The sequence below is a fragment of the Homo sapiens genome, chromosome 5 (genome assembly GCF_000001405.40).
Source record: "Homo sapiens chromosome 5, GRCh38.p14 Primary Assembly".
Classification (NCBI taxonomy): Eukaryota; Metazoa; Chordata; class Mammalia; order Primates; family Hominidae; genus Homo; species Homo sapiens.
Genome location: NC_000005.10, coordinates 25,277,630 through 25,302,676, shown reverse-complemented (window position 1 = coordinate 25,302,676; position 25,047 = coordinate 25,277,630). Strand labels below are relative to the sequence as shown.

Below are 25,047 nucleotides of genomic sequence, written 5' to 3'. Positions count from 1 at the left end.
AGTTGGACTCATAAAAAGTGGAGAGGAGAACGGTGGTTACCAGGGACTGAGTGCAGGGGGATTGGGTTGATGTTGGTCAAAAGATACAAAAGTTCAGTTAAATTGCAAGAATAAGTTGAAGAGATCTATTGTACCATGCGATGACCAGAGTTAAAACTAATGTTTTGTATCCTTGAATTGCTAGGAGGGTAGACTTTAGGTGTTCTCATCTCAAATGATTGTAATTAAACTATAGTGATAGATGTCTCAGGCAGAATTACAAGTTTATGTAAAAGGCGTTGATTTGAATCAAACACATAGAAATTCACAGTATTTGAGAAAGCTGACCCACCTGGAATAAAAGCAACAATGACTTCTTATGTTTGATTTCAGAAGCCTAATTTTTTGTATTCGGGAAGCAGAATAACCAAGCAGGTCATCCTCTTCAATGCACTCATCAGAGGTGGCTAAGGAGGATGACTGAAAAGAAAACACATCCAAGAAGTGGAGGCAAAAGTGATGGAGAATATTCAACCGGAGCATCACTACATTCTTAAAGCTTTCTATTTCTTTTATTGCTAAGAAACTACCATCTTATGATTTTTCTTTTGGACGCCTAATTTCCAACATGGTTTGCCTGCTTGACTAACTCTCAGGATTCCAGTTTTGCTAAACATTAACTTTACTTACTATTTAGACTTTTCCTAGCTTGTCTCAATGTGTGGTTTCATCTACCATATGCATGAGGTTGAGTTTCAAATTCAAATAGCTCCCAGCCAAACTATTTCCAACTATATATATTCACTTGAATGTTTAAAAAAGTACTTACTGTAAAAAATTACAAAATTACATTTAATATCTCTTTTTCTCTTTCCCCTTTTCCTACACACACACACACACACTCACACACACTATGCACACTCTTATCCACAAACTCATACAGGTATTGTACATACACAGGCATTCACACACACTCAAAAATGCTTTTTTATCTTTTATTTCATTGAATGTCAAACTATTAAACAGGCAACTATAATTTTATCTTAAAAATGTAAATTAGTTTTAACAATATTGTTACTGTGAATTTTAGTGGAATTGCAGTAACACAAATGGAGGTTTAATGGTAGTAGGTAAGAATTGCATTAAAACAGGAAAAAAAATGATGAAGTTACAGAGAGGAGTATACATGTTTGAAATGGAATTGCATTCATTATTTTAAAATTGGGAAGACGGTGATATTAAAAGTTGGTATGAAAAATAGGTTAAATGAATAAAATAAGATTTCTGACCACATGAATGGGAAGCAATTAGTCATAAAAATATTTCTGGGAAGAAATTTTATGATCTTCTCATAGCTGAGTAAAGAATATTATATTTATGCTTACATTATGCAAAAAAGGGAATATAAGTCTTCAAATAAAACATTTAAATAAAATCAGTCTATAAATTGTGGTAGCTGTTAGTAGCTATGTAAAAATTTATTTAATTAATAAAATGTTTATTTAGTGGCTAGACTTTCAGGTTCTCAGAGTTACGACTGCTGTTGGCACAAAGAGAAATAATCAAATGGAAATTTTAAAATGAAAGATAATTGAATAATCTTGTCTAGCAATGATATTGGAAAATACTGTTTTTTGAAAGTTTTTATTACCCTGCTTGTCTAATAACTGATTTTTTGAAATAGATCATAAAGTTATAAATTACTATACCTTTTAACATAATGATTAGTGATACAGCATATTAAAAATAGAAAAAGTTAATTAAATATACATTTAGGAAAATGTAAAATCACCAGATTATCTTAAAGACCCATTTTTCTGTTTTTGATTCTCACAGTTTTTCAAAAGAAATGTATAGAAACCTGCAAAATTATGAGAAGAAAAAAATAAACTGTAACAAGAGCAAACTTTAAAATTATCCCCGCTAATATTCCTGTTGTGATTAATCATGATCTTTAACTGACCTGTCAAACATGGCCAAATGTAAGATATAATATGGCTTCCAACTTTTATAGATACTTCAAAATACACTAGTTTCTCCAGAGGAAATTTGTAGCATTTTAAAAAACACTCACTTCATAGGTTTTTGCAAAAACATTATGATCATATCACCATATGCAGAAAAAGCATTTCATGAAATACAACACCCAATTGTGATAATTCTCAATAAACTGGGAATAGAGAACTTCCTTAGCCAGAAATAGAATATTTACAAAATCCCTATAGCTAACTTTATTCTTAATGTTGAGAAACTTGAAGCTCCCCTACTAAGATTCAGAGAAAGGCAAGGATGTCTTCTTCTCACCACAGCTTTTCAATATCATACTGAAAGTTCTAGCTAATGCAATAAGAAAGGAAACAAAATGTATAAGTATTGAGAAAAAATAAATAAGCCTATTTTTGTTTAAAGATGGCAAGACTATCCATGTAAAAAACCTAAAGGAATCAACAACTACAACAAATAACTTCTGGAACTAGCAAACAATTATAGCAAGGTTGCTGATTACAAGTCTAATGTACAAATGTCAGTTTATTTTTTATAGACCAGCCATGAACAGTTAAATTTGAAATAAAAAAAAACAGAAATAACATTACTTTTATATCAGCTTCCCCCAAAATGGAATACTTTAGGTATAAATTGAACAAAATATGTACAAGCTTTATACAAAAAAAACTATAAAATTCTGATGAGTTAAACAGAAAAGGACCAAATAAATGGAAACATCCCATGCTCATAAATCAGAAGACTCAATATTGGCAATATGTCATTTCTTCCCAATTTGGTCTATAGATTCAACAAAATTCCAATCACATTCCAGTAATGTATGTTGTGGACACTAGCAAGCTAATTCTAAAGTTTATATGGAGCGGCAAAAAACACAGAATAGCCAAAGCAATATTGATTGATAAGAATAAATTGAAGGACTGTCTATACCCATCTCTAAGGCTTACTATAAAGGTACAGTAATCATGACAGTCTGATATTGGCAAAAAGAGACAAATAGACCCATGGAACAGAATAGATAACCAACAAATAGACCTGCATAAATATAGTCGACTGATTTTGGAACAAAAAGCAATGCAGTATAATGTAGCAAAGATAGTCTTTTCAGCGAGAGGTACCAGAATAACTAGACATGCAAAAAAAGTGAGTCTAGACACAGATCTTACACCCTCCACAAAAATTAACCCAACATGAATCATAGGATCAAATGTAAAACATAAAACTATAAAACTAAGAGGTAACAAAGGAGAAAATCTAGCTGATCATCAGTATGGAAATAACGTTTTAGGAAGAACACCAAAGCCATGATCCAAGAAAGAAATCAATCATTAAGCCAGCCATTGAAAACTTCTGCTCTGCAGAAAACAAAGTCAAGAGAATGAAGAGAAATGCCACAGACTGGGAAAAAATGTTTGCAAAAGATAAATCTGATTAAGGGGAGTTGTGTAGAATTTACAAAGTACCCTTAAACCCCGGTAATAAGAGAAAGTCTGATTGAAAAAATAGCTCAATAACCTTAACAGACACTTCATCAAAGAAGACACATGCATGGCAAATTAGCATAGGAAAAGATGCTCCATATCGTATGTCATAAAGGAAAGGCCAGTTAAAACAACAAGATACCACTACCCACCTATTATAATGGTCAAAATCTAGGACACTGACGGCATCAAATGCTGACAATGATGTTGAGAAATAGGAACTGTCATTCACTGCTGGTGGGAATACAAAATGGGACAGTTACTTAAGAAGGCAGTTTGGCAATTTCTTACAAGACTAAACATATCCTTACCACATGATCCACCAATCGTACTCCTTGGCATTTACCTAAAGGAGCTGAAAACTTCCACACAAACCTGCACACAAATGTTTATGGCAGTTTTGTTCATAATTAACAAAACTTGGAAGAAATCAAAATGTACTTCAGTGGGTGAATGGATAAATAAACCGCAGTAAATCCAGACAATGGAATATTATTCAACAGTAAAAAGAACTGAGTTATTAAGATGTGAAAATACAGGAAAGAAACTTAAATGCACATTGCTAAGTGAAATAAGTCAATCTAAATCCTTTATATATTACAGGATTCCAACTACATAACATTCTGGAAAAGACAAAACTGTGAAGACAGCAGAAGAGAATTGGTTGCCAACAGATGACATAGAGGTGAGAGGGATGAAAAGGCAAAGCAAATAGTTTAAGGACATTGTGTAAACTCTATATGTTACTATAATTATATATATGTGATATTGCAAATGAATATTACATTATGCATGTGTCCAAACCCCTAGGATGTACAACATTGAGAGTGAACCCTAATGTAAACTACAGCCTTTGGATGATTATGATGTGTCAATACAGGTTCATCAATTGCAACAAATATGACTTCTGGTGAGGGATGTTCATAGTCCCTCACCAGAGCAAGCTATACAACATGTGTGAGGTCACAGGCTATATGGGAAATTCCTGTACCATGCTCCCAATTTTGCTGTGAACCTAAAACTGCTCAAAAAAAAATGAAATCTTAAGAAAACATTGAACAACATTATAGGTAATATCTTCAATGATAATTTCATAGAAAACGTGATGTTTTAAATAGAACCATTTTGAAGTAAAATTTATTAATGCACATCATTTGATCAAATGGGTTTACATGGTAGTTGATTTATAATGATAGCAAATAACAGAAAAGATGGAATGAACAGTACAACGAACATACCACACAATTAAATGATATCCCCTGAGGCCATTTTTATATAGACTTGGAAAAAGAACTGTACCGAGTCAATTCAAGCTAAATACAAGAGATTGGCAACACTGGTCGTGTGTTGCTTTTTAAAAAATTTAGGTGACAATTTTCAGATCTATCATGAAAGTCAAAAACACTTACCAATTCTCCCTGAGTTTGGAGGATCACTCTGGAGATGAGGCTGATTGATGTTTTTGGCCAAGAACAACTTTTTTTTTTCATCAATACAAATTTCTGATTTTCTGAAATGTGTGAGACGTGAGATGTGTGAATGAATTCCGAATTGAATTTCCAATAATGTAAAAACATCTACGTATTTTCTTAGAAAATGTCAAGACAAAGTTTAAGAGCCATCTATATTGGTAGACTATCTGATTTTAAGTTACACTACCCTCACCCAAATTTCTATAGAGCAGTCAGATGGATTTATTGCATAATAAACCATTAGATAGCTAAAATAATCTCCAGTTGATTGAACTATTTCAAGAGTATTATCAAGATAGCATAAGACATTTTTCTTTCAATCTCATGATAAGTAATCCTGTAGTGTTCTTCTAAACTTTATTTTCAGGTTTTAAATATGATTTAAAGAAAAAGATGAAAAAATGTTCGTTCTATCATTTTATGCTGAATTCTAATCATTCTTGTCTTGCCCATTCTTGTCTTGCCCATTCTTTTTGATATAGTAACAACAGATAAAGCACAAGGTACCTATCAGGCATTGCATGTTTATTATGTACATGTATTTTTCCAATAACCCTTTAAGTTAGTATTCTTATAATTATTGCTGTTTTATAGATGAAGCAACTTGTGAGTGTTATTTCGACTACCACTGTTGTAGATAAATAATTTACTTTTCCATACTCAAAGATATAGTAAGTGACAAACCTGGATTAAAACTAGTTATTTTCAATTCCAAGCCAATATACTATAATGCTTCCCACACAAATGGCAATATCACATATACTTTGGACCTTTTGAGTTCATATTATCTATATCAGTACTGATTTCGGACAGTAAAAAATAGTTATTGATTGCAATGTTATCAAGAATCCAGTATCAATAGTCTTTTAAAAGACTATAAGCCTGCAGTATTACAGAAAGACACGATTATTCAATTAATTTTATTCATGGATTTAAAAGCATTTATTTGAATATTTTACTGTATTTGAAGAATTTGAACAATTAAAAATGCATGAATTTTTTAAATCTATAAATTGTAAGGTGAGGTTTTAACATTTTATAATCCAGCATCAATCAAAGGAAATTATATTTGAGAAATTAAATTTAACATCTAACAAATATTGGTACTGTCACTCATAAAAGGGTCAAATTACTTTATGCCAAAAAGAGATTCCTGGAGTCCATTATTCAATTTAATGAATGTAATCAAATGAGAAAAATAAAAGGTGTTAATCAAAGGGGAAAATTCTAGAAAAGTTTCTCTATTGAGGATGTATCCATGGTCATAGTGACAAAGTTAATGAGATTTTGACATGTGGATGTTAAATCTCTTGTTAAGGGGAAAAATGTGTCAGATCTCTGAAGGATCTTAGCATACATTTGCCAAAATCAATGGTTGTAATACATAAAAAGCTTAAATTTCTATTTTACATTATCATTTATTTCTAAATGTAGCTAGCTTTATTTAAAAAATAGAACATTCACACATATACGCATGCACACATACACACACGAATCTCCCCAGGGGAACACATTCATTTCTAGTAGTATTACCAAGATTCAAGCACATGGGTAATGTGCTGCCCTACCAGATTGCCATTGCTATGATGTCCCTAGGAGACAGAAACTTTTCAGCTTCATCGTATTCTTACAGTACCACTGTTGTATATGGGTCTATTGTTAACTAAAACATCATTATGCAGTATATGGCTGTACTAAAAACAAAATGAATCAGGATACACAGGGTTTGTGCTAGGAATTTAGGGTAAACTATTATTAGAAAAGCCTACCACAATTATTTGTTATCTTATTCTCTATCTTAGAGATATTTTGTCTTGGTTAATAAGAACGTTGACAGTTATGAAAGAGAAAAGTATATAATAGCAATTTAAAGAAGAAATAAAAACTAAATAAGCATGATATAGAGAAAATTAACTAGTTTTTTAAAAAAAATTTATTATGCATTTGGAAATACAAGAATTGGAATTATCACTGTAAACTGTAAACTAAAAACCAAAAAACAAAAACCTTTGTGCTTTGCAAAATGTTAATGGCAGCATTTTAAAATGTGGTCTTTCAAACCATTTTTATAAGCTCCTAGCCTTTAAAAAATTAAATATAAGCTCTCAGTTTTTATATTTAACGCTCTTTCCAAATTGAAAAGTAAGTACATAAACTATTTCAGAGTAGCTGATTTCAGGATGTTTGCAGACTTTTTTTTTCTGTTATAAGACACTTCTAATAACCAATGTTGCTTATTACCATTATTAATGAGGGAAAATTATAAAATAAAATTTGTGTTTTATATCTGTATCTGTTTTCATATCTGATTTTTCTGAGGAGCCAAAATAGTGTGAGAAAAATTAAACCCTCAACAAGAAAAAAAAGGAAAAAAAATGTAGTAAGCATTTTGCTTGGGTGCTTCATACACGGTAGTCTTTTCAACTCTACTTTAGAGAAATTGACAATGAGTCACTGTGTGCGATATACTCACTCTGGAGAACCAGAACCACACCCATACAAAGTTCTAGTCTGAGAGCAGATTTTACTTGCTCTGGTGTCCTGAGCTCCGTTTTCTTTCTGCATTGATTCAGTGCCTTGCACAAGCCAGACTTTCACCTCAATTGTTTTTGCATAAGTTTAATATTTCCTTAGGCAACCTTCAGGCAAACCTGAGCTGCTTGCATGGTCTGCCAAGTTATTTTCTAAGACAGCAGTTATTATTTTTGTTAGTGCTCTGTTTACAGGCCTGCGCAGGTTTTGGCCAATGTCATTTTCCTCATAAGCCCTGGAATCGTTTGCGGTGATTTTGCAGAATGCAGTCTTTCACAAACATATATATTGTACCCAAGCAGATATAAAGATGTTACTGGAACACCTTGCTCCAGAAAGCAAAGATGCTTTCAAGAATAGGAGAGGTGTACCTAAATGTTAAAGGGACTAATAATGTTAATAGGAAAGCCATTGACTAGGCAGTGATAATGGACAACATAATGGAATAAAAAATAGAAATATTTAGAATATATTGACACAGTCAAACCCCACCAGTATGCTCACATGGAAAAACTATAAATGAAAAATTCATAAAAAATTAAGACGGGTGACATTATTCTTAGTAGTATACATCTTTATTAATTTGTCTTTATTTAAAAATAAATAATTGTATTAGATGTTTGTTCATTTGCTTTTTTGAAATGGAGTCTCACTCTGTCGCCTAGGCTGGAATGCAGTGGTGGTGCAATCTTGGCTCACTGTAACCTCTGCCTCAGCCTCCTGAGTAGCTGGGATTACAGATGTTCACCACTATGTCTGGCATATATATACATATATATATTTATTTATATATATAATATATATTATATATAAGTATAAATATATATATATAAATAAAATACCCGGCCTGTATTAGGTGCTACAAGTTTATATGTGGTTCCGATTATCTCACAATGTTAAGCATTTGTCTGAATAAAATCTAAATTTTGGGAACAGTTTTCCAAGTAAAAAATAAAGAAGCCTAAACAAAGGGAACTGAGAATAAGCCAAAGCATCCTGAAAAAAAAAAAAAGAATATTAGGAAAAAAAGAAAGGCTTATCAGCTCCATTTCTCAACAAGGTAGTCAGGTTAAAAAGTACTTCCCAAATCTGATGGAAGATAGCAACTTGATCTACTGTCAGAGAGAATACAAACCTTTGCTCTCACCAACTCTGCTTTCCAAGGTGACATAAGCTTTGGATCATCTACCAAAATGTAATATATGACGCACATAGGAAAGCATTATATTTCTGGAAATTAAAGCAATGTGTGAAATTAAGAAAATTAAACTTGGACAACATGGGGATAGATAGAAAAAGCTTCAAGTTAAAAAGACATGCATGAGGTCTGAATGTTCTTTTGATGTAGGAAATGAGCTCTATAAAAGAGTGGCCTACATCAATGTTGTAATGGAGATTATTGAGAGAACTGAGAAGATACAATGAGGACTCATGTTTGACCTGGAAATCAGTTGACTGACAAACCAGAGTGGGTTTTTTTTTTTTTAATTTCTAGCTCTGCAATTATTATTCACTCTTTGAAAAGTGTGAAAAAAGTATGAAGATAACAAGGAAATAAAATATATGATACAATAACTTTAAGTAGTGTAGGAGTAAAAATAAAATTCTATACTCATTCAGTAATTATTGTATGTCATTTGAAGCATGTAGGAGTATATGACAAAATGATTTGTTAAAATGTAAAATTAGTACAAGAAAATGTGAAATTACTTAAGAAAACTATTGCTATAAAAGTCAAAAAAGTGATTCATCATGATTTTTTAGAATAAATGTATTTACAGTTGATAAATTAACCATTAAACAAAGTAAAAAAAATCAATAACTGTCTGCAACAAAAGATCCTTGGATATGATTACTTATAGTAATGGTCCCCAGCCTTTTTGGCACCAGTGACAGGTTTCTTGGAGGACAATTTCTCCACTGCTGAGAGGATTGGGGGTGATGATTTCAGGATGAAACTATTTCACCTCAGATCATCAGGAATTAAATTCTTATAAGGAGTGCACAACCTATATCCCTCATATGTGCAGTTCATAATAGGGTTCCCGCTCCTATGAGAATCTCATGCCTCTGCTGATCTGACAGGAGGTGAAGCTCAGGTGATAATGTGAACGATGGGGAGCAGCTGTAAATATGGATAAAACTTCACTTGCTCACCTGCCGCTCACCTCCTGCTGTGCGGCCAGTTCCTAACAGGCTATGGACAGGTACAGGTCTGTGGCCTGGGGGCTGGGGACGCCAGACTTATAATACTTACTACAATTTCCTATTGTGTTTATGTGTTAACGTCACTGCTTTTTTTTGTCTAAGTGTCACATTTTTCTGTTTACTATTATTTCTGACATACAAGACACATCAATAAATATTACTGAAGTAAAGGAAAGAAATTAATGACGAAGAGAAACCAATAAATTATTAAACTTTATCCAAAATGTTCCTAGAATGTAATAAAATTCTACAGACTTAAATTTTAAAAAGATTTCTGTTAAACTAAAAAAAAAAAAAAAAAAGAGAGAGACTATTCAAAATTATAGAGAAAATTGTCTGAGGATACCCCCAAATAATAAATTAAACTAGAAACATGATGCAGATTTGACTTTTATTTTATTTTACTTTATTTATTTATTTTTTTTGAGACGGAGTCTTGCTCTGTTGCCCAGGCTGGAGTGCAGTGGCGTGATCTCGGCTCACTGCAAGTTCCGCCTCCCGGGTTCACATCATTCTCCTGCCTCAGCCTCCTGAGTAGCTGGGACTACAGGTGCCCGCCACCGCGCCCGGTTAATTTTTTGTATTTTTAGTAGAGATGGGGTGTCACCACGTTAGCCAGGATGATCTCGATCTCCTGACTTCATCATCCGCCCGCCTCGGCCTCCCAAGATTTTACTTTTATTACTATTGATTCAGAAATCCTAAATAAAAGTTGCATAAATCATGATCTTCACCTTCATCTTGCCCTTCTTCTAGCTTGAAGCCCCATAAAAACAGTAGGGACATTGGTCTGGGATCCTTTGGATCGGTTGTGTCCTCACTTTACAGGGTCTTCTAAGGCTACCCAACTTTGAGACGCAACTTTATGACATACTAGGCAAGAATGGACGTCTTGGAGAAACACATGATTGCTTATTTACTAGCTTGGTAGTAAAACAAGTGGAAAGTATCTCAGAAGTCCCTGAATTTCTTACCAATTGTCAAATCTAGACCTTTGTGTCTCACAGAGATTAACACTTTTTTTTCTTTTTTTCTTTTCTCTTTGAGGCAAGATCTCACTCTGTCACCCAGGCTGAAGTGCAGTGGTGCCATCAAGGCTCACTGCAGCCTTGACCACCCTGGCTCAAGTGATCCTCCCACCTTGGCTTCCAGAGTAGCTGAGACTACAGTCACGTGCCACCACGCCTAGCTAATTTTTATATTTTTCGTAGATTTGGAGTTTCGTCACGTTGACCAGGCTGGTCTCTAACTCCTGGGCTCAAGCAATCCACCAGCTCCTGCCTCCCAAAGTGCTGGGAGCCACTGCACATGGCCTGAGATGAACATATTCTTGATTAGAAGTTAACATAGTAAAGCCACCAACTCTTGAAATTACAAATTAATAAAATATATTAATAATTAGAATTTTTTAAAAATTATTTTACTGAATAGAACGGGGCAAATATTTGCAACCATATATTCGATAAGAGTTGATTTCCACAATATTTGAGACTCCTACAACTCAACAGCAAATAAATAAATAAAAATAAATAAACAAACTTAAAAAAATGGGCAAAGGACTTAACTAGACATGTCTCTAAAGAAGATATACAAATGGTCAACAGGTATATCTATATCTATATCCATATCTATCTATATATATATAGAAAGATCAACATCACTAATCATCAGGGAAATATAAAGCAAGATGACAATGAGTTATCATCTCACAACTATTAGATTAGCTATTATTAAAACATCAAAAATTAATATGTATTGGCTACGTCGTGGAGAAATCAAAACCATTTTCCACTGTTGTTGAAAATGTAAAATAGTGCAGCTGGTATGGAAAATAGCATGGAAGTTCCACAAAAGAAATTAAAAATAGAACTACCATATGACCTAGCAATCATATTTTTGGGCATATATATAAAAAATTGAAATTAGAATCTTAAAGTGATATCTGCACTCCTATGTTCAGTGAAGCATTATTCTCAATAATATTCAGGATATGGAAATGTCCCAAATGCATATCAAAAGGTGAAAGAAAATTTGGTATACATATAAAATGGAATATTATTCAGCCTTAAAAATAAAAGAAATGGTGCTCTTTGCAACAACATAGATGGACTTAGCAGATGTTATGTTACATGAAATAATCCAGTCACAGATGGACAAATCCTGCATTATTCTTCTTATATGAAGCATATAAAATTGTCAAATGTATAGAAGTTGGCAATTGAATGGTAGTTACTTGAGAATGGAGAAAGAAGGAGATGTGTGTTTTGTTCAGCAGATATGACATCACAATCCTAAGCTATTTTTAATAGTGTGGTGATGAACATATGAGTGCATGTATCTTTTGGTAGAATGATCTGTTATCCTTGGGGTATACGGTAGATGCCCAATAATGGGATTACTGGATTGAATGGTAGCTCTGTTTTAAGGTCTTTGAGAAATATCCAAACTGCTTTCTACAGTAGTTTAACTAACTTACATTCCCACCAAAAGTGCATAATTGTTCCCCTTTTCCTCTGCAGCCTCACCAGCATCTGTTGTTTTGTAACTTTTAATAACAACCATTCTTACTGGTGTGAGATGGCATCTCATTCCGATTTTGACTTGCATTTCTCTGATGATTACTGATGTGGAACATTTTTATATCTTCTTTGGCCACTTGCATGTTTTCTTTTGAGAAATGTCCATTATGTCCTTTACCTATTTTTTAAATATTCTTATTATACTCTAAATTCTAGGGTTCATGTGCACAACGTGTAGGTTTGTTACATATGTATACATCTGCCATGTTGGTGTGCTGCACCCATTAACTCGTCATTTACATTAGGTGTTTCTCCTAATGCTATCCCTCCCCCCTTCCCCCACTCCCACTCCACATCAGGCCCTGGTGTGTGATGTTCCCCACCCTGTGTCCAGATGTTCTCATTGTTCAATTCCCACCTATGAGTGAGAACATGCGGTGTTTGGTTTTCTGTCCTTGTGATAGTTTGCTCAGATGTTGGTTTCCAGCTTCATCCATGTCCCTTCAAAGGACATGAACTCATCCTTTTTCATGGCTGCATAGTATTCCATGGTGTATATGTGCCACATTTTCTTAATCCAGTCTATCATTGATGGACATTTGGGTTGGTTCCAAGTCTTTGATATTGTGCATAGTGCCACAATAAACATGTGTGCATGTGTCTTTAGAGCAGCATGATTTATAATCCTTCGGGTATATAAATAAGTAATGAGATGGCTGGGTCAAATGGTATTTCTAGTTCTAGATCCTTGAGGAATCGCCACACTGTCTTCCACAATGGTTGAACTAGTTTACAGTCCCACCAACAGTGTAAAAGTGTTCCTATTTCTCCACATCCTCTCCAGCACTTGTTGTTTCCTGACTTTTTAATGATCGCCATTCTAACTGGTGTGAGATGGTATCTCATTGTGGTTTTGATTTGCATTTCTCTGATGGCCAGTGATGATGAGCATTTTTTCATGTGTCTGTTGGCTGCATAAATGTCTTCTTTTGAGAAGTGTCTGTTCATATCCTTTGTCCACTTTTTGGTGGGGTTTTTCTTGTAAATTGGTTTAAGTTCTTTGTAGATTCTTGATATTAGCCCTTTGTCAGATGGGTAGATTGCCAAAATTTTCTCCCATTCTGTAGGTTGCCTGTTCACTCTGATGGAAGCGCTTCTAGTTAAGTATTGTAGGATTTAAGAAGATACATCTCATGTTAAAAACTTTTAACACACAGGCACACACACACACACACACACACATGCAAACATAAAGCAAAGGAGCACAAGAATACACTCAGTACTGAACAAGTTTACCATCTAGAATATGGTGACAGTAATGCAAATGTATACATATGTCCAAACTCCCCAAATTGTATGCATTACTTATGTGCAGTTTCAAGAATTTCCTAGGAAACACTGAAAAAAAAAAGAGTAACAAGGGAGAAATTATCCTGAAGATATTTCTTGAGGATATTTAAAGATGCAATTGAGAATACATACAAGTATATTTACAGTGAGTTGTTTGGAAAAAAGTTTGAATCGATAAAACAATCCAGATGTGAAAACAAAAATGGACAGATTTTACAATATACATTTTTATGTGTTTGTGTATATTTGAAGACATTATAAGTATGTACAAATATGAGATTGAGAGAAAATGTCTCAAATAATTATAATAAGAGATGGGCATTCCTGAAGTAAAAATAATTTCTACAAATTAATAAAAATAGTATATGAACAAGTAATGACAGAAGATAAAGACAGGAGTCCAAAAATATTGTTAGTCACTGATGATTACCCATATTCAAATTAATATATTGTTATACTGCTTTTGTTTTGATTTATAAAAGTCAATTTATTGAGAACATTTAATAATAGACTAGCATTAAAAAACATTCTCATGCACTGCATGTAGATGTGAAAATTAGAATAATCTTTTTAGAATGTATTCTTCTGTATTTGAAAATTAAATATGCATTACTGTTCAGCCAAGGATGCCACTCAACAGAGTATTTTATATCATGTATTAGATTCAAATCCAGTAATGAGTTTAATAGCAAAAATATTTTGGAATTGAAGTTACTTTTTTCATGAAACTGCATCTAATGATTATCTTTATGACATTTAATTCGTTCATTATATTTAGTTTCCCAGCACTATGGAGTTTCACAGACCCATTTGTTATATTTGAGGAGAAAATTTAAGATTTTGAAAAACATAATTACATTAGTATACATTGAAAGCAAGAATAAAAGAGCAATAAATGAGGAGAAAGTATAAAATACTATACTTATTTATTCAGAGACAAAAACAAATTCAATTTAGTTACCCATTGGCTTAGAAAGCCTGAGTTATTACTGATGCAAGGGATCAGAAGCAAACTAGGTGTCCAAGCAACAGATCTGGTGACAAGCATTCACGGACCCAATGCAAGTAAAATTCCTTAAATAAAAAAAAACTGAAATAATGAACAATTATTGGTTTTAGAGCAACAAAATACTCTTACCTAGGAATCAATAGTGCCTTGTGAATTATAAACTAGCAATACTTTTTCTTAATTAATTCAAAGAGTGGAACAAAATTTGATCTCTGATGGAAGATAAAACACTCAGTACTAAGAGGCAAAGCATCCTTTGTTGGTCACCGTTATCCCAGAAGGTGAAACGGAAGTGCTATCCATGCCAAATGAAAAATTTTTAAAAAATTCTGTTTCAGAGTTAATGATCTTTGGACCTATGCATACTTGAGTCTCTCCTGAACTGCTAAATTTTTGTGCTGGATTTTTAGATTTAGGTTAATTCTTCAATTTTTCTAATTTTCATCAGAGGTACTAACACAACTCTAGGGGAAACTCAAAGTAGGTTAAACAAAAAAAAGCTCTTGATTCATCAAACTCTTCCGCCCGAGATCATATATAGTAAATCATCTGATCACCTTCTCGTCTTTTATCAGGATAATTTTATTGGTGCTTCAGGGTCTAATGTTCTTTCGCATTAATTAAAATCTGATGTCAAATGAATATCCTGCTACTCCTACTTTTTCTGCGAGAATGTCCATTAAAAAGTGTGAGGTTTACATTTGAGTATAGTGAGAATTGAAAACAATTTTTCAAAAAACATTCATATTTATAGTGTGTTTTTTTCTGTGAATTTACAGTTAACCCAATTAACTTACTTAGCAAAGATAACTTGTTGCTGTCATGGATATTTCATAAACATAAATCATATTTCAAATATAAATGATATGTAAAAATCAAGGATAAAATTGTAGTTAAGATAAGAAACAAGTTTTCAAATTTATTCCATAAACTTCTCAAAATCAGTGCTTAAATGCATGGAAACACAGAACAGAAACCAAAGTCCGGATGCAAAAATATAGAGTTTAAAGTATATTTTCTAATGTGTAAGTTTTAGAGAAAATACACATTATAATGTATTTTTCCTTTCTTGCCTTCATCATCTAGCAATTTCTTGATCTCCTTCCCACATATTCTCATGACCAATAGGCAAAACACTGTTATATTTTATTAAGGATGGACTGTTTAATAATTTATTCTATAAATATTTAGCAAACAATTACTATATGCAAGTAATTATATAAGGCACAAAAATTATTGAATATATACTGAACAAACACATATTTAGATAATTTGCCTTATTATTTATTCTTTTTAATTCTGTGCCATTTTTATAACTGAAGACATCTTTCTGTATACTATGTGGGTAGAGACTCCAAGAAGATGATGAATGAGAGAGAAAAGAGAGCTTGGCAGATATTCAAACTAAATCAATATTTTCAGAGAGAAAGATTTAGGCAAAACCACGATGCTGGTAAGTGCTGACTGCTTTAGAGTCATGAAAACATCAAGGACTAGCACATTTAGAAATGTGGCATATGCCGGAGTTTAGTATGATTCATGTCCCTTGATGGGTTGTAAATTCAAAAAGATCATTCTGGCTGAATAGATTACAGTAGAGTGGTGTCAACAGCCTGAGGAACCTAGCCAAACAACACTGAACCTGAGCTACAAAGTGCTTTTGGCATTTGTTGTTATTTAGACAATATTGCTATTATAGGGAAAATTTATAGAAAGCATTCATAGAATCTGAGCAATGTATCCCTGAGGTAGAAATAATATGGTGTCAGGGTAAAGTCGGCTAAATGTGAATTCTTTAAAAAGGAGAGCAGGTCCTGGAGTAATGTGATAGCTGCAAGTGGTTTCTTGGGCAAAATGATAAAACACTGTCTGTAAAATATGTGCCATGCCCAAAACATGTTAGGCTGCTTGAATTCTGGGATTTATAAACTAATGGTTTTGCTAAATTTTGTAACTCTGAATCACAAAATAACAATTGTCTGTAACCTATGTGAGTATTTTAGATTGTCATGTTTTAGAATTTCATATAGTTTTCATGCTTTATGAACAAAGTCTTAAGCAATATACAGCCTACTGCTTTCCTTCTATAACTCCTAACCAAGTTAATTTAGCATAGTTCACTGTATCTCAAAAATGAATGTAGCACATTTAGATCAAGGGACAATTATACCAATGGGAATAGTGGATATGCTATGCTTTTTTAAAAAAAGTTTTTTTTCACTCACTCTAAGACAGAAGAAACTTCTACAGTCAAATCTGATCTTATTGGCTCTTAGCATTTTTTGGCTCTCAGCATAAAATGATGCCGTATTCTTTTTAGCTATTCTGAGTTGACAGAATATAACCCCAATGTAGTTATTGAGATTTGAAGGAGGAGAAATAAATAGCAGCACTTGTCGTTATTCAATTCTGAACCAATTGAGAAGACCAAAGAGTAAGCAGAATAGAAGACTAAATAAGACCTTAATTCATGATGCAGCTCACACTGAGGAAAGTGGTCTATAAAACTTTACTTTATTGATTCAAAGACCCACATCACTTTACATTTTCAGTTATCCAAAATCGGGATGCATGTAGAGTCAATGTAGCTTTTCAATTACTATAGTCAGCTGCAATGCATTGTGTATTGGTTAGCTCATGTTTATTTTCTCTTCCAAACTCAATTATTAGATTTAATCACTCATCAAGCCCTAGGGGGAAATTAGTGAAGAGGAGGAAGGCAAAGAAACTACTTACGTACTTATGCCCACAATAGCCAACTTCATTCTCTGCACGTGCTTTCATTTAGTCACTGGAATGCATAATGCATTCCAAACATTATCAGAGTTAATGTTTAATATTCAATAACATACTTTAACATGGCTTTGTCCCACAGCATTCCACATTCATTATCAGTTTTTGTTAAAGACCATGACCTCCGTGACACTTTTTAATGGATATTCTTTAGTCAGCTTAACATTTCAGCTTCAATTGGAACTATTTACCATTTGCTTCTTCTTGAAGTAGTCTCTGACTTTGATCGGAGTGGCAAAAAACTCACACAGATTTTCAATTTCTGCTATAATGAAGTAATTTTGATAAGCCAAAAGTCCTATCCAGAATGGGTAGAATAGCTAGACAAAATAATGAGAACAATGAAAACAATAATGTCACTGAAGAATAAGCCCCTTAGAATGCTCCTGTGGCAATGAAGTCCTTATGATCCAGTACCTAAGATAGAAAGGAACATAGTAAGAATGAGTCAATATTCTCAATATTCTGTTTCACCACTGTTTTTATCCTCCTCTTAGGATTTCACTCTTCTTCATACAGAGTGAGAAAGCTGAGATATCCAGAAGTCAAGAAGTCAGAGGAGATTTCATTAATCTTCACTGGAATGAGAAAACGCAATTTTGGTATTTGTGACTACCAAGGTAAAAAAAAATATTGGGGGCCAAGGTCGCAAAGAAAACAAAGGTACAAAGATATGAGCAGGAGAATTAGTCCATTTTCTTCTTGAGCGTTTGCCAATATATTATACTGTAGTGGAAAAGATGTTGAAAGTCAAGAAGAAAGAATCTAAAAAAGGAGACTAGGCCTTTTTTGGTAATTTAGACCAAATGGAAACAAAATTGCTGGGAAAAAAAAATTTGAATTCAGTACTTGCCGAAAAGAAGAAACTCAATTATACAACAGATATTAATATCTTCTATTTCTATACATCACAGGGGTAAACGTACCAGAAAATCAAACTAGAGAGTACCAAAGAATCACTCAAAGATTACTATCATGGCTTACGTCAGTATTAATGTGGTCTATTCTCATTTTTCATTCCTATCAGAAAATAATGTTCTCTCTCTCTGCAAAATTATAAAGCATCATTGAAATATTTTATATTTTTTATGCATAACGGTGAGGATTAATTTTCTCTGCCAACTTGGCTATACTATGGTGCCCAGTTGTTTGGTCAAATACTAGTCAACTACATGTTGCTGTGAATGTATTTTTAGATGTGATTAACATTTACAATTAGTTGACTTTAAGAAAATGACTTGCAATAATGTGGGTAGATTTTATTCATTCATCTGATGCCATAAGAGCAAGCACGGACGTTTCCCGGAGAAGGAACTCTTTTAGTTAGAGACTGAAACATCAACTCTTATTTGAATTTCCAGCCTACGGGCCTATCTTACAGATTTCATACTTGTGAGTTCTCACAATTGTGTGAATGAATTTATCAAAATTTGTCTCTGTCTCTCCCCTCCCTTTCTCTCTCTCTTCTCCCTCCCTCTCTCTCTCTCTCTCTCCCCTCCTCTGCCTCCATAGATAGATAGATATCTTATTGGCTCTGTTGCTTGGGAGATCCCTGACTCATACAGTAACCATTACAACATTAATGTCTAGGCATACAATAAAGAAGAACAAAAGAAAAAGAAAAAGAAAAAAGTGGATACTAGAAACAGAATCCAAGATGTATAATATACTAGAGTTATCACATGTGTATTTAAAAATAAATGGGAATACTATGTTCTCCAATGTAAAGGATGAATAAAAAATTTTACCATAGAATAGAAATAATAAAGAACCAAATACAAATACTAGAACTGGAAAGGAAGTAATGGCTATTAAAAACACAATAGATTATTTGGGCATGAGATTGATCACAACATAAGAGGATTCCTGTACTAGAAGCCAGATGAGTAAAAATTTCCATGGATGGAAAATAAAAAATAAAAAAGTAGTATGAAAGATATATGACACAGAGTAAATGGATTGATATACATGTAATCAGAGTCTCAGATAAAGATAAAAGAGACAGACACAGTGGGGTAGAAGTTAAAACTTAAGAAGGATGTCCTGAGAATTTTCCAAAACCTATGTGGGGTAATTACTTAATAAAATATAAGAATATTGGGCAAATATTATAAAGCAACTGACTCTACTATGGTGATTTTTTGTTTGTTTTTTTATCATCTCAAAGATTCTATTCTTTTTTCTGCCATACATATTTTAATAAAAGAATTTTATATAATATAGAATTGCACTGTCCATATTTGTTGATAGTACAAGATGAGAGCAGTATATGAAAAAAGCAGCATTCATAGGTATTTTTAAGCAAAGTAATAATAGCCCAGAATCAATAAGCTGATATTAAATATAAATTTAAGTTTCTTATATAATATAAAAAAGTTCAGTTTAGCTCAAATTTCAAAGTCTAGATTTACAGAATTCCATGTTGAAATACTTGAATACCTAAAGAATCTGAACACAATATGAACCATTATTTTAATGCTGTTGACACAGAAATCATGTACTTAAGACATAAAATATAATGATGGGTCACAAAAGAGCCATGATCCTATTATATTTTTACATTTGAAAATGATATGCACCATGTACATTTCTATAACAATGCCACATTTCAAAGGGCATAGGAAATATGTCATACAAGGAATAAGACAAAAAGAAATGTAATGTTTCCATGGTAGGTATGTAGAGAATGTGAAAGAGCTAATTATATAGCCTATAGTTAGTTTGGCATTAATCAAAAAGTGTGTTTAACGTCATGTTTAGAGATTTTACATAATTTGAAAAATGATTTTGAAGGTGTTTGAATAAGGTTGTGTGGAAGCCATTACTTGAAAGAAGACAGAATAGATTGAGGGGATAAGAATGTTTAGAGCTTATAGTTGCTTATAAGTATACTAATATAGTTGAGGAAAGGAGTACTAAGAGAGTATACTTAGAAAAATGTAGTATAAATTAAACATAAAATTATTTTATTACTTTATGAAGTTCATTACATTTATTTCAAAACCTAATGTTCCATATATAAAAGAATTCTGTTCCACCATTATTTGTTAAGTTCATCTTTAAAGGCACTGCACAAGATATTTTTGAATATGTAAAAGATGTAGACATCATTTCTGTCCTCAAAGAACAACCAAACAAGTAAACACATATTTTTATTATTAGCTTGAGAATTCTAATGCTGCAAGAAAGGTCCTAAATAGCTCTTTAAGTTCGGAGGGAGAAGTAATTTCCATCTGTTTGTGATAGTGGTTATGATGGTGGTGGGAATATAATGGGATTTTTAAAATTTGAAAAGGTCAATTTCCAGAAATTTTTATTTGATTTGTTTGTTGAGGACTGAAACGGAAATGGAACAAATTATGTACAAGCCCAGGGAAAGTATAGGCAATCACCATGATATATTTAGCCAAAACATCTAAAGCAAAAAAAAAAAAAAAAAAAAAGGTTGTGTCGGGTCTTTAGCGACCTTTAATATCAGCGTGAAGTAGTAAAAAATTTGCTGAGTTGTTAAATGTGTCTTTAGATATTTTCCCAGGTCTTTGAATATTGTTCCTTTAGAAAGATTTTGATAGCATTTTCTCAAGGAGAGATTTAAGAATAGCCAGTGTTCTGTCAGTTCTGGTATTGAGCTAATAAGGTCCTGAAGAATAGCATCTGCATTGGGAATATGAAGAAAAGGAGTAATGAAAGGAATATTACAGAGCTAGAATCAGCATTATCTAGGAACTGATTATTCGAATTAAAATGCAGTACACGATGATAGCTTGAAGGCTTCAAGCCTAAATACCTTGAAGGGTTGTGAAGCCATTAAAAGAAATAAGGCATACAATATGAGGGGAGATTTGAAATTAAATCATGAATTAAATTTTGCTCATGCAGAATATGACTCTAGCCCCTAAAATAAAGAGTGCATGAGAAGCGCATGATATTTCCCGCTTGTAAGCAAAGAGAAGATAACTTCTGATAAATAGATACACTGTTATTAGGAATATAGAATTTAATATTACTGAGGGGAAAATCTTTTTTTCCTAAACCATATTTGGTAGATATAAAAGGTGGCCAAAAGTTCCTCCCATTCCTACATACCTAAAAGGTTAGAATGTGAACTTGCTGCTGCTTCTTTCTTCGGAAGGTGGAATCTATCTCTCCACCACTTGATTCTGGGATTTGCCATGTAATTTGCATAGGGCAATGAACCATTAGCAGATATGACAAAAGTGAAGGCTTGAAACACGCTTTTGCACTATAACTTGTCATTTCTGGAACTTTCTTCTAGGCAATCATATGAAGAATAAGACTTAGCCATTCACAGGCATCTTATCTGAGGTTCCAGACATATAAGTGAACCAATGCTATGTTGTCGGCATATGTCTAGATGGAAAGAACTGCTCAGATAACTGTAAGTTTCTTGAGAAATACTATGAAGTGCTGTTTTAGGCCAATGTATTTTCAAGTCACTTATTTCACAGCAAATATGAACCAATACATAAATTGATGTCTACAACTGGGAATTCCGCCGTAACAAAAGCATAAATTATGTGTTTGGTTTTGATACCAGGCACCAGATGCGCTAGATGCACCGCGGAAAAATGACAAGAAATCTGTTAGAAAAGGCTAGAAAAATGACAAGATTTTAGATATCTTTTAAGACTTTTAAAGGGATTGTCGTATAACAATTAGACACCTTTTTAAGACTTTTAAAGGGATTGCCCTATAACAATTAGCCATGTGGTCTAAGCTAGACAGAACTCAGTTTTATAACATTTTTTTGGATGTGTCTTTTGAAACGGAGTGTATTCAAGGTTGACAGAAAACTCACTGTTTATTTCAGAGAGTTGTATAGGTGGATGTAGCAATGACTTGGATTAAATCATAGAGATTGTTTCAATTGCAAAATGGGATCCAACTGATAAAGTTGCATTGACTGTTAGTAACTTCAATCACGGTCCATTTGTATAAAAAGCACAGGTCATTACAGTGGACAGAGTGAAAGTTTCATCAAAGGGTAAAGTCAAAAACCAAAGAGATCAATGAACTGGGAAACAATTTCCAGGAAACAGATTAAATATCCACCTTGAATTTGTAATTGCTTCATATTCTCCTATTTTGAACACAAGCATCCATGTTGATTATTTTCTTTTTGCTTCACTTTGAATGTTGGATCTATGGGGGGTAAATAACTTGTCTTTCTCATTCATTTCTTTGGAATAAGAAACAATGCTCTTAAGGACTTACAGCCAATGAACTTCATCTGTATCTGGACCTAATGCAGCTGGTGAAATAATGAATTGTAAACCCAGTGTCCAAACTGAAAAAGAATTCGGTGGTTCATGAAATAAAGATGAACATGTTTTTATGGGTTAGTGGCTTAGATTGAGTTCTACAAAACATACTCTGAGGAAGTTGCTTGCGTGTTGTTTATTAGTAAATGCTCTTAGAAACAGGTCTTTGGTGGCCTAATAGAAACCTCTTTAGGCAGAGAAAATTTAAACTTAAATGAAGAGAGGTAAACCTTCGAAGTTGACCCAGGCTGTGACAATGAGGCCAAGCCTTTATGCCTAGCATCCATAGATTACTTATGCAACCTTCACTGAAAGATGTATTAGCAGAGGCACTCTCTTAGTATGAAGACAATTCCTAGGAAGGTGTTAACTTTTGAACTTTTTGAATTAAACTCTCCTGCAGCCAGGGGAAAGATTGCTTTTGTCATTAAAGAATGATCTAAGGTACAGATCATATTATCCACTAGAGTGAGGAATGTAACTAATCACTGGCCAGGGACCTGTTGATAAATTGAAAAAAATGCCCAAAATTCCTCCCATGCTTGCATGCATATCCACTTTAAATGTAATTTCAGCATCCCCTCTGTCAAGACAAGAATCTCTCTCCTTGCTTCTTGAATTGGAAGTTGGTCATGCAGCTTTTATTTGCTCAGTGAGATGCTTGAAGACATGTCAAAAAATGAAGATAAAGCCCGGGCGCGGTGGATCACACCTGTAATCCCAGCACTTTGGGAGGCTGAGGCAGGTGGATCACGAGGCCAGGAGATCGAGACCATCCTGACTAACACGGTGAAACCCTGTCTCTACTAAAAATACAAAAAATTAGCCGGGCGTGGTGGTGGGCACCTGTATAGTCCCAGCTACTCTGGAGGCTGAGGCAGGAGAATGGCGTGAACCCAGGAGGAGGAGCTTGCAGTGAGCCAAGATCCCACCACTGCACTCCAGCCCGGGAGACAGAGCGAGACTCCATCTTAAAAAAAAAAAGAGGATAAAGTATCACTTGAAAAGAGAACATGAAGGTCTGCATGGAGACAGAGGTATAGCAATCGGTGTTATTCCACGAAACCCAACTAATGTCTAAGACATGCACCATAGCTATCTTAGATAATTAACTCAGAGTTGTCCCAGAACAGAACTGCCTATCCATCCATAACTCTTAAAAATTTTAAATCATTGTTGCATAAAAGCCACTAAATGTTGAAGTGGTTTGTTTTGCACATAATTGATACACATATCCATCACGTATGTATATATAATTATTCTCTTTGATTATAAATTAATATATTTTTAATTCTATATTGCAGGTTTAAGGAACATCGATTGGCTAGATTATTCAAGGATAAAATTAGCTAACAAAAGTATTAAAAGTGAAGTGAAGTGATAATTTGGAAAAAGTATGAAATAAGTGAAAAAATAAAATGATTTGTGGATAGCACAACCAGTATATGAAACGATCTATAATTGACATGGAAGTACTTGCCCTCATTATTCTATTTGTCCAAGAATAAAATGAATGGAATCTGTGAGCATTTTAAATATGTGTTTATTGCCTAATAATATTCATTTCTCTCATAGGGAAAATGAAACGCACACCATCAGTATGTTTGCAAAAAATAACCATTTGTGAAATAGACCATATGAAATAATTTGAAAAAGGCATGCATTATAAGAAAACTACAGCAGGGCAAAGCAACAGGATACCTTCTGTTACCTGATACCTTCTGTTTAGTTTCTTTTCCATATAAAATATTTACAAAGTCATCATTGTTATATATTTACTTGTATGTTTACAAATTATCTATGTTTGTGGTAGTACATTATTTAAGAATAATGTATATGTATATTATATTAAGAATAATGTATATGTATATACGTATACACATATATGTGTATACGTATATACATATACATTATATTAAGAATATATGTATGTATATGTGTATATATATGCATATACATATATGTACACATATACATATATACATATACATATGTATATGCATATACATGTATGTACACATATACATATATGTATGTATATGTGTATATATTTATACATATGTTATATTATATATGTATAATATATATGTATATATAATATATGTATACATATATTATATAATATATGTATATTATATTATACATTATATAAATATATGTTATATAAAAATAATGTATATGTATATACATATTACTTATATATTATATGTATATGTATACGTATTATTTACATATTATATGTATACATATACATATATACATATATGTTATATTAAAAATAATATATATGTATATACATGTATAATGTACTACCATGAAGATAGATAGATATAGATAAACATATATAGATACATAAATACATATACATATATAAACAATGTATATGTGATGAATTGATAAAATTAGATATTAATTTGT

The 25,047-nt window shown here is 32.9% G+C and overlaps 1 long non-coding RNA gene across 1 annotated transcript in view; it reads right to left on the bottom strand.

Annotated features, from left to right (window-relative positions):
- Nucleotides 1-396: 396 nt before the first annotated feature.
- Nucleotides 397-25,047, bottom strand: part of LINC02211 (long intergenic non-protein coding RNA 2211) — a 111,328-nt gene continuing 86,677 nt past the window's right edge. The window contains exons 2-4 of the long non-coding RNA NR_136209.1: nt 4,874-4,974; nt 3,617-3,698; nt 397-459 (exon numbers count right to left, since the gene is read on the bottom strand). This is a non-coding gene — a long non-coding RNA (long intergenic non-protein coding RNA 2211). The remainder of the gene's footprint in view (nt 460-3,616; nt 3,699-4,873; nt 4,975-25,047) is intronic.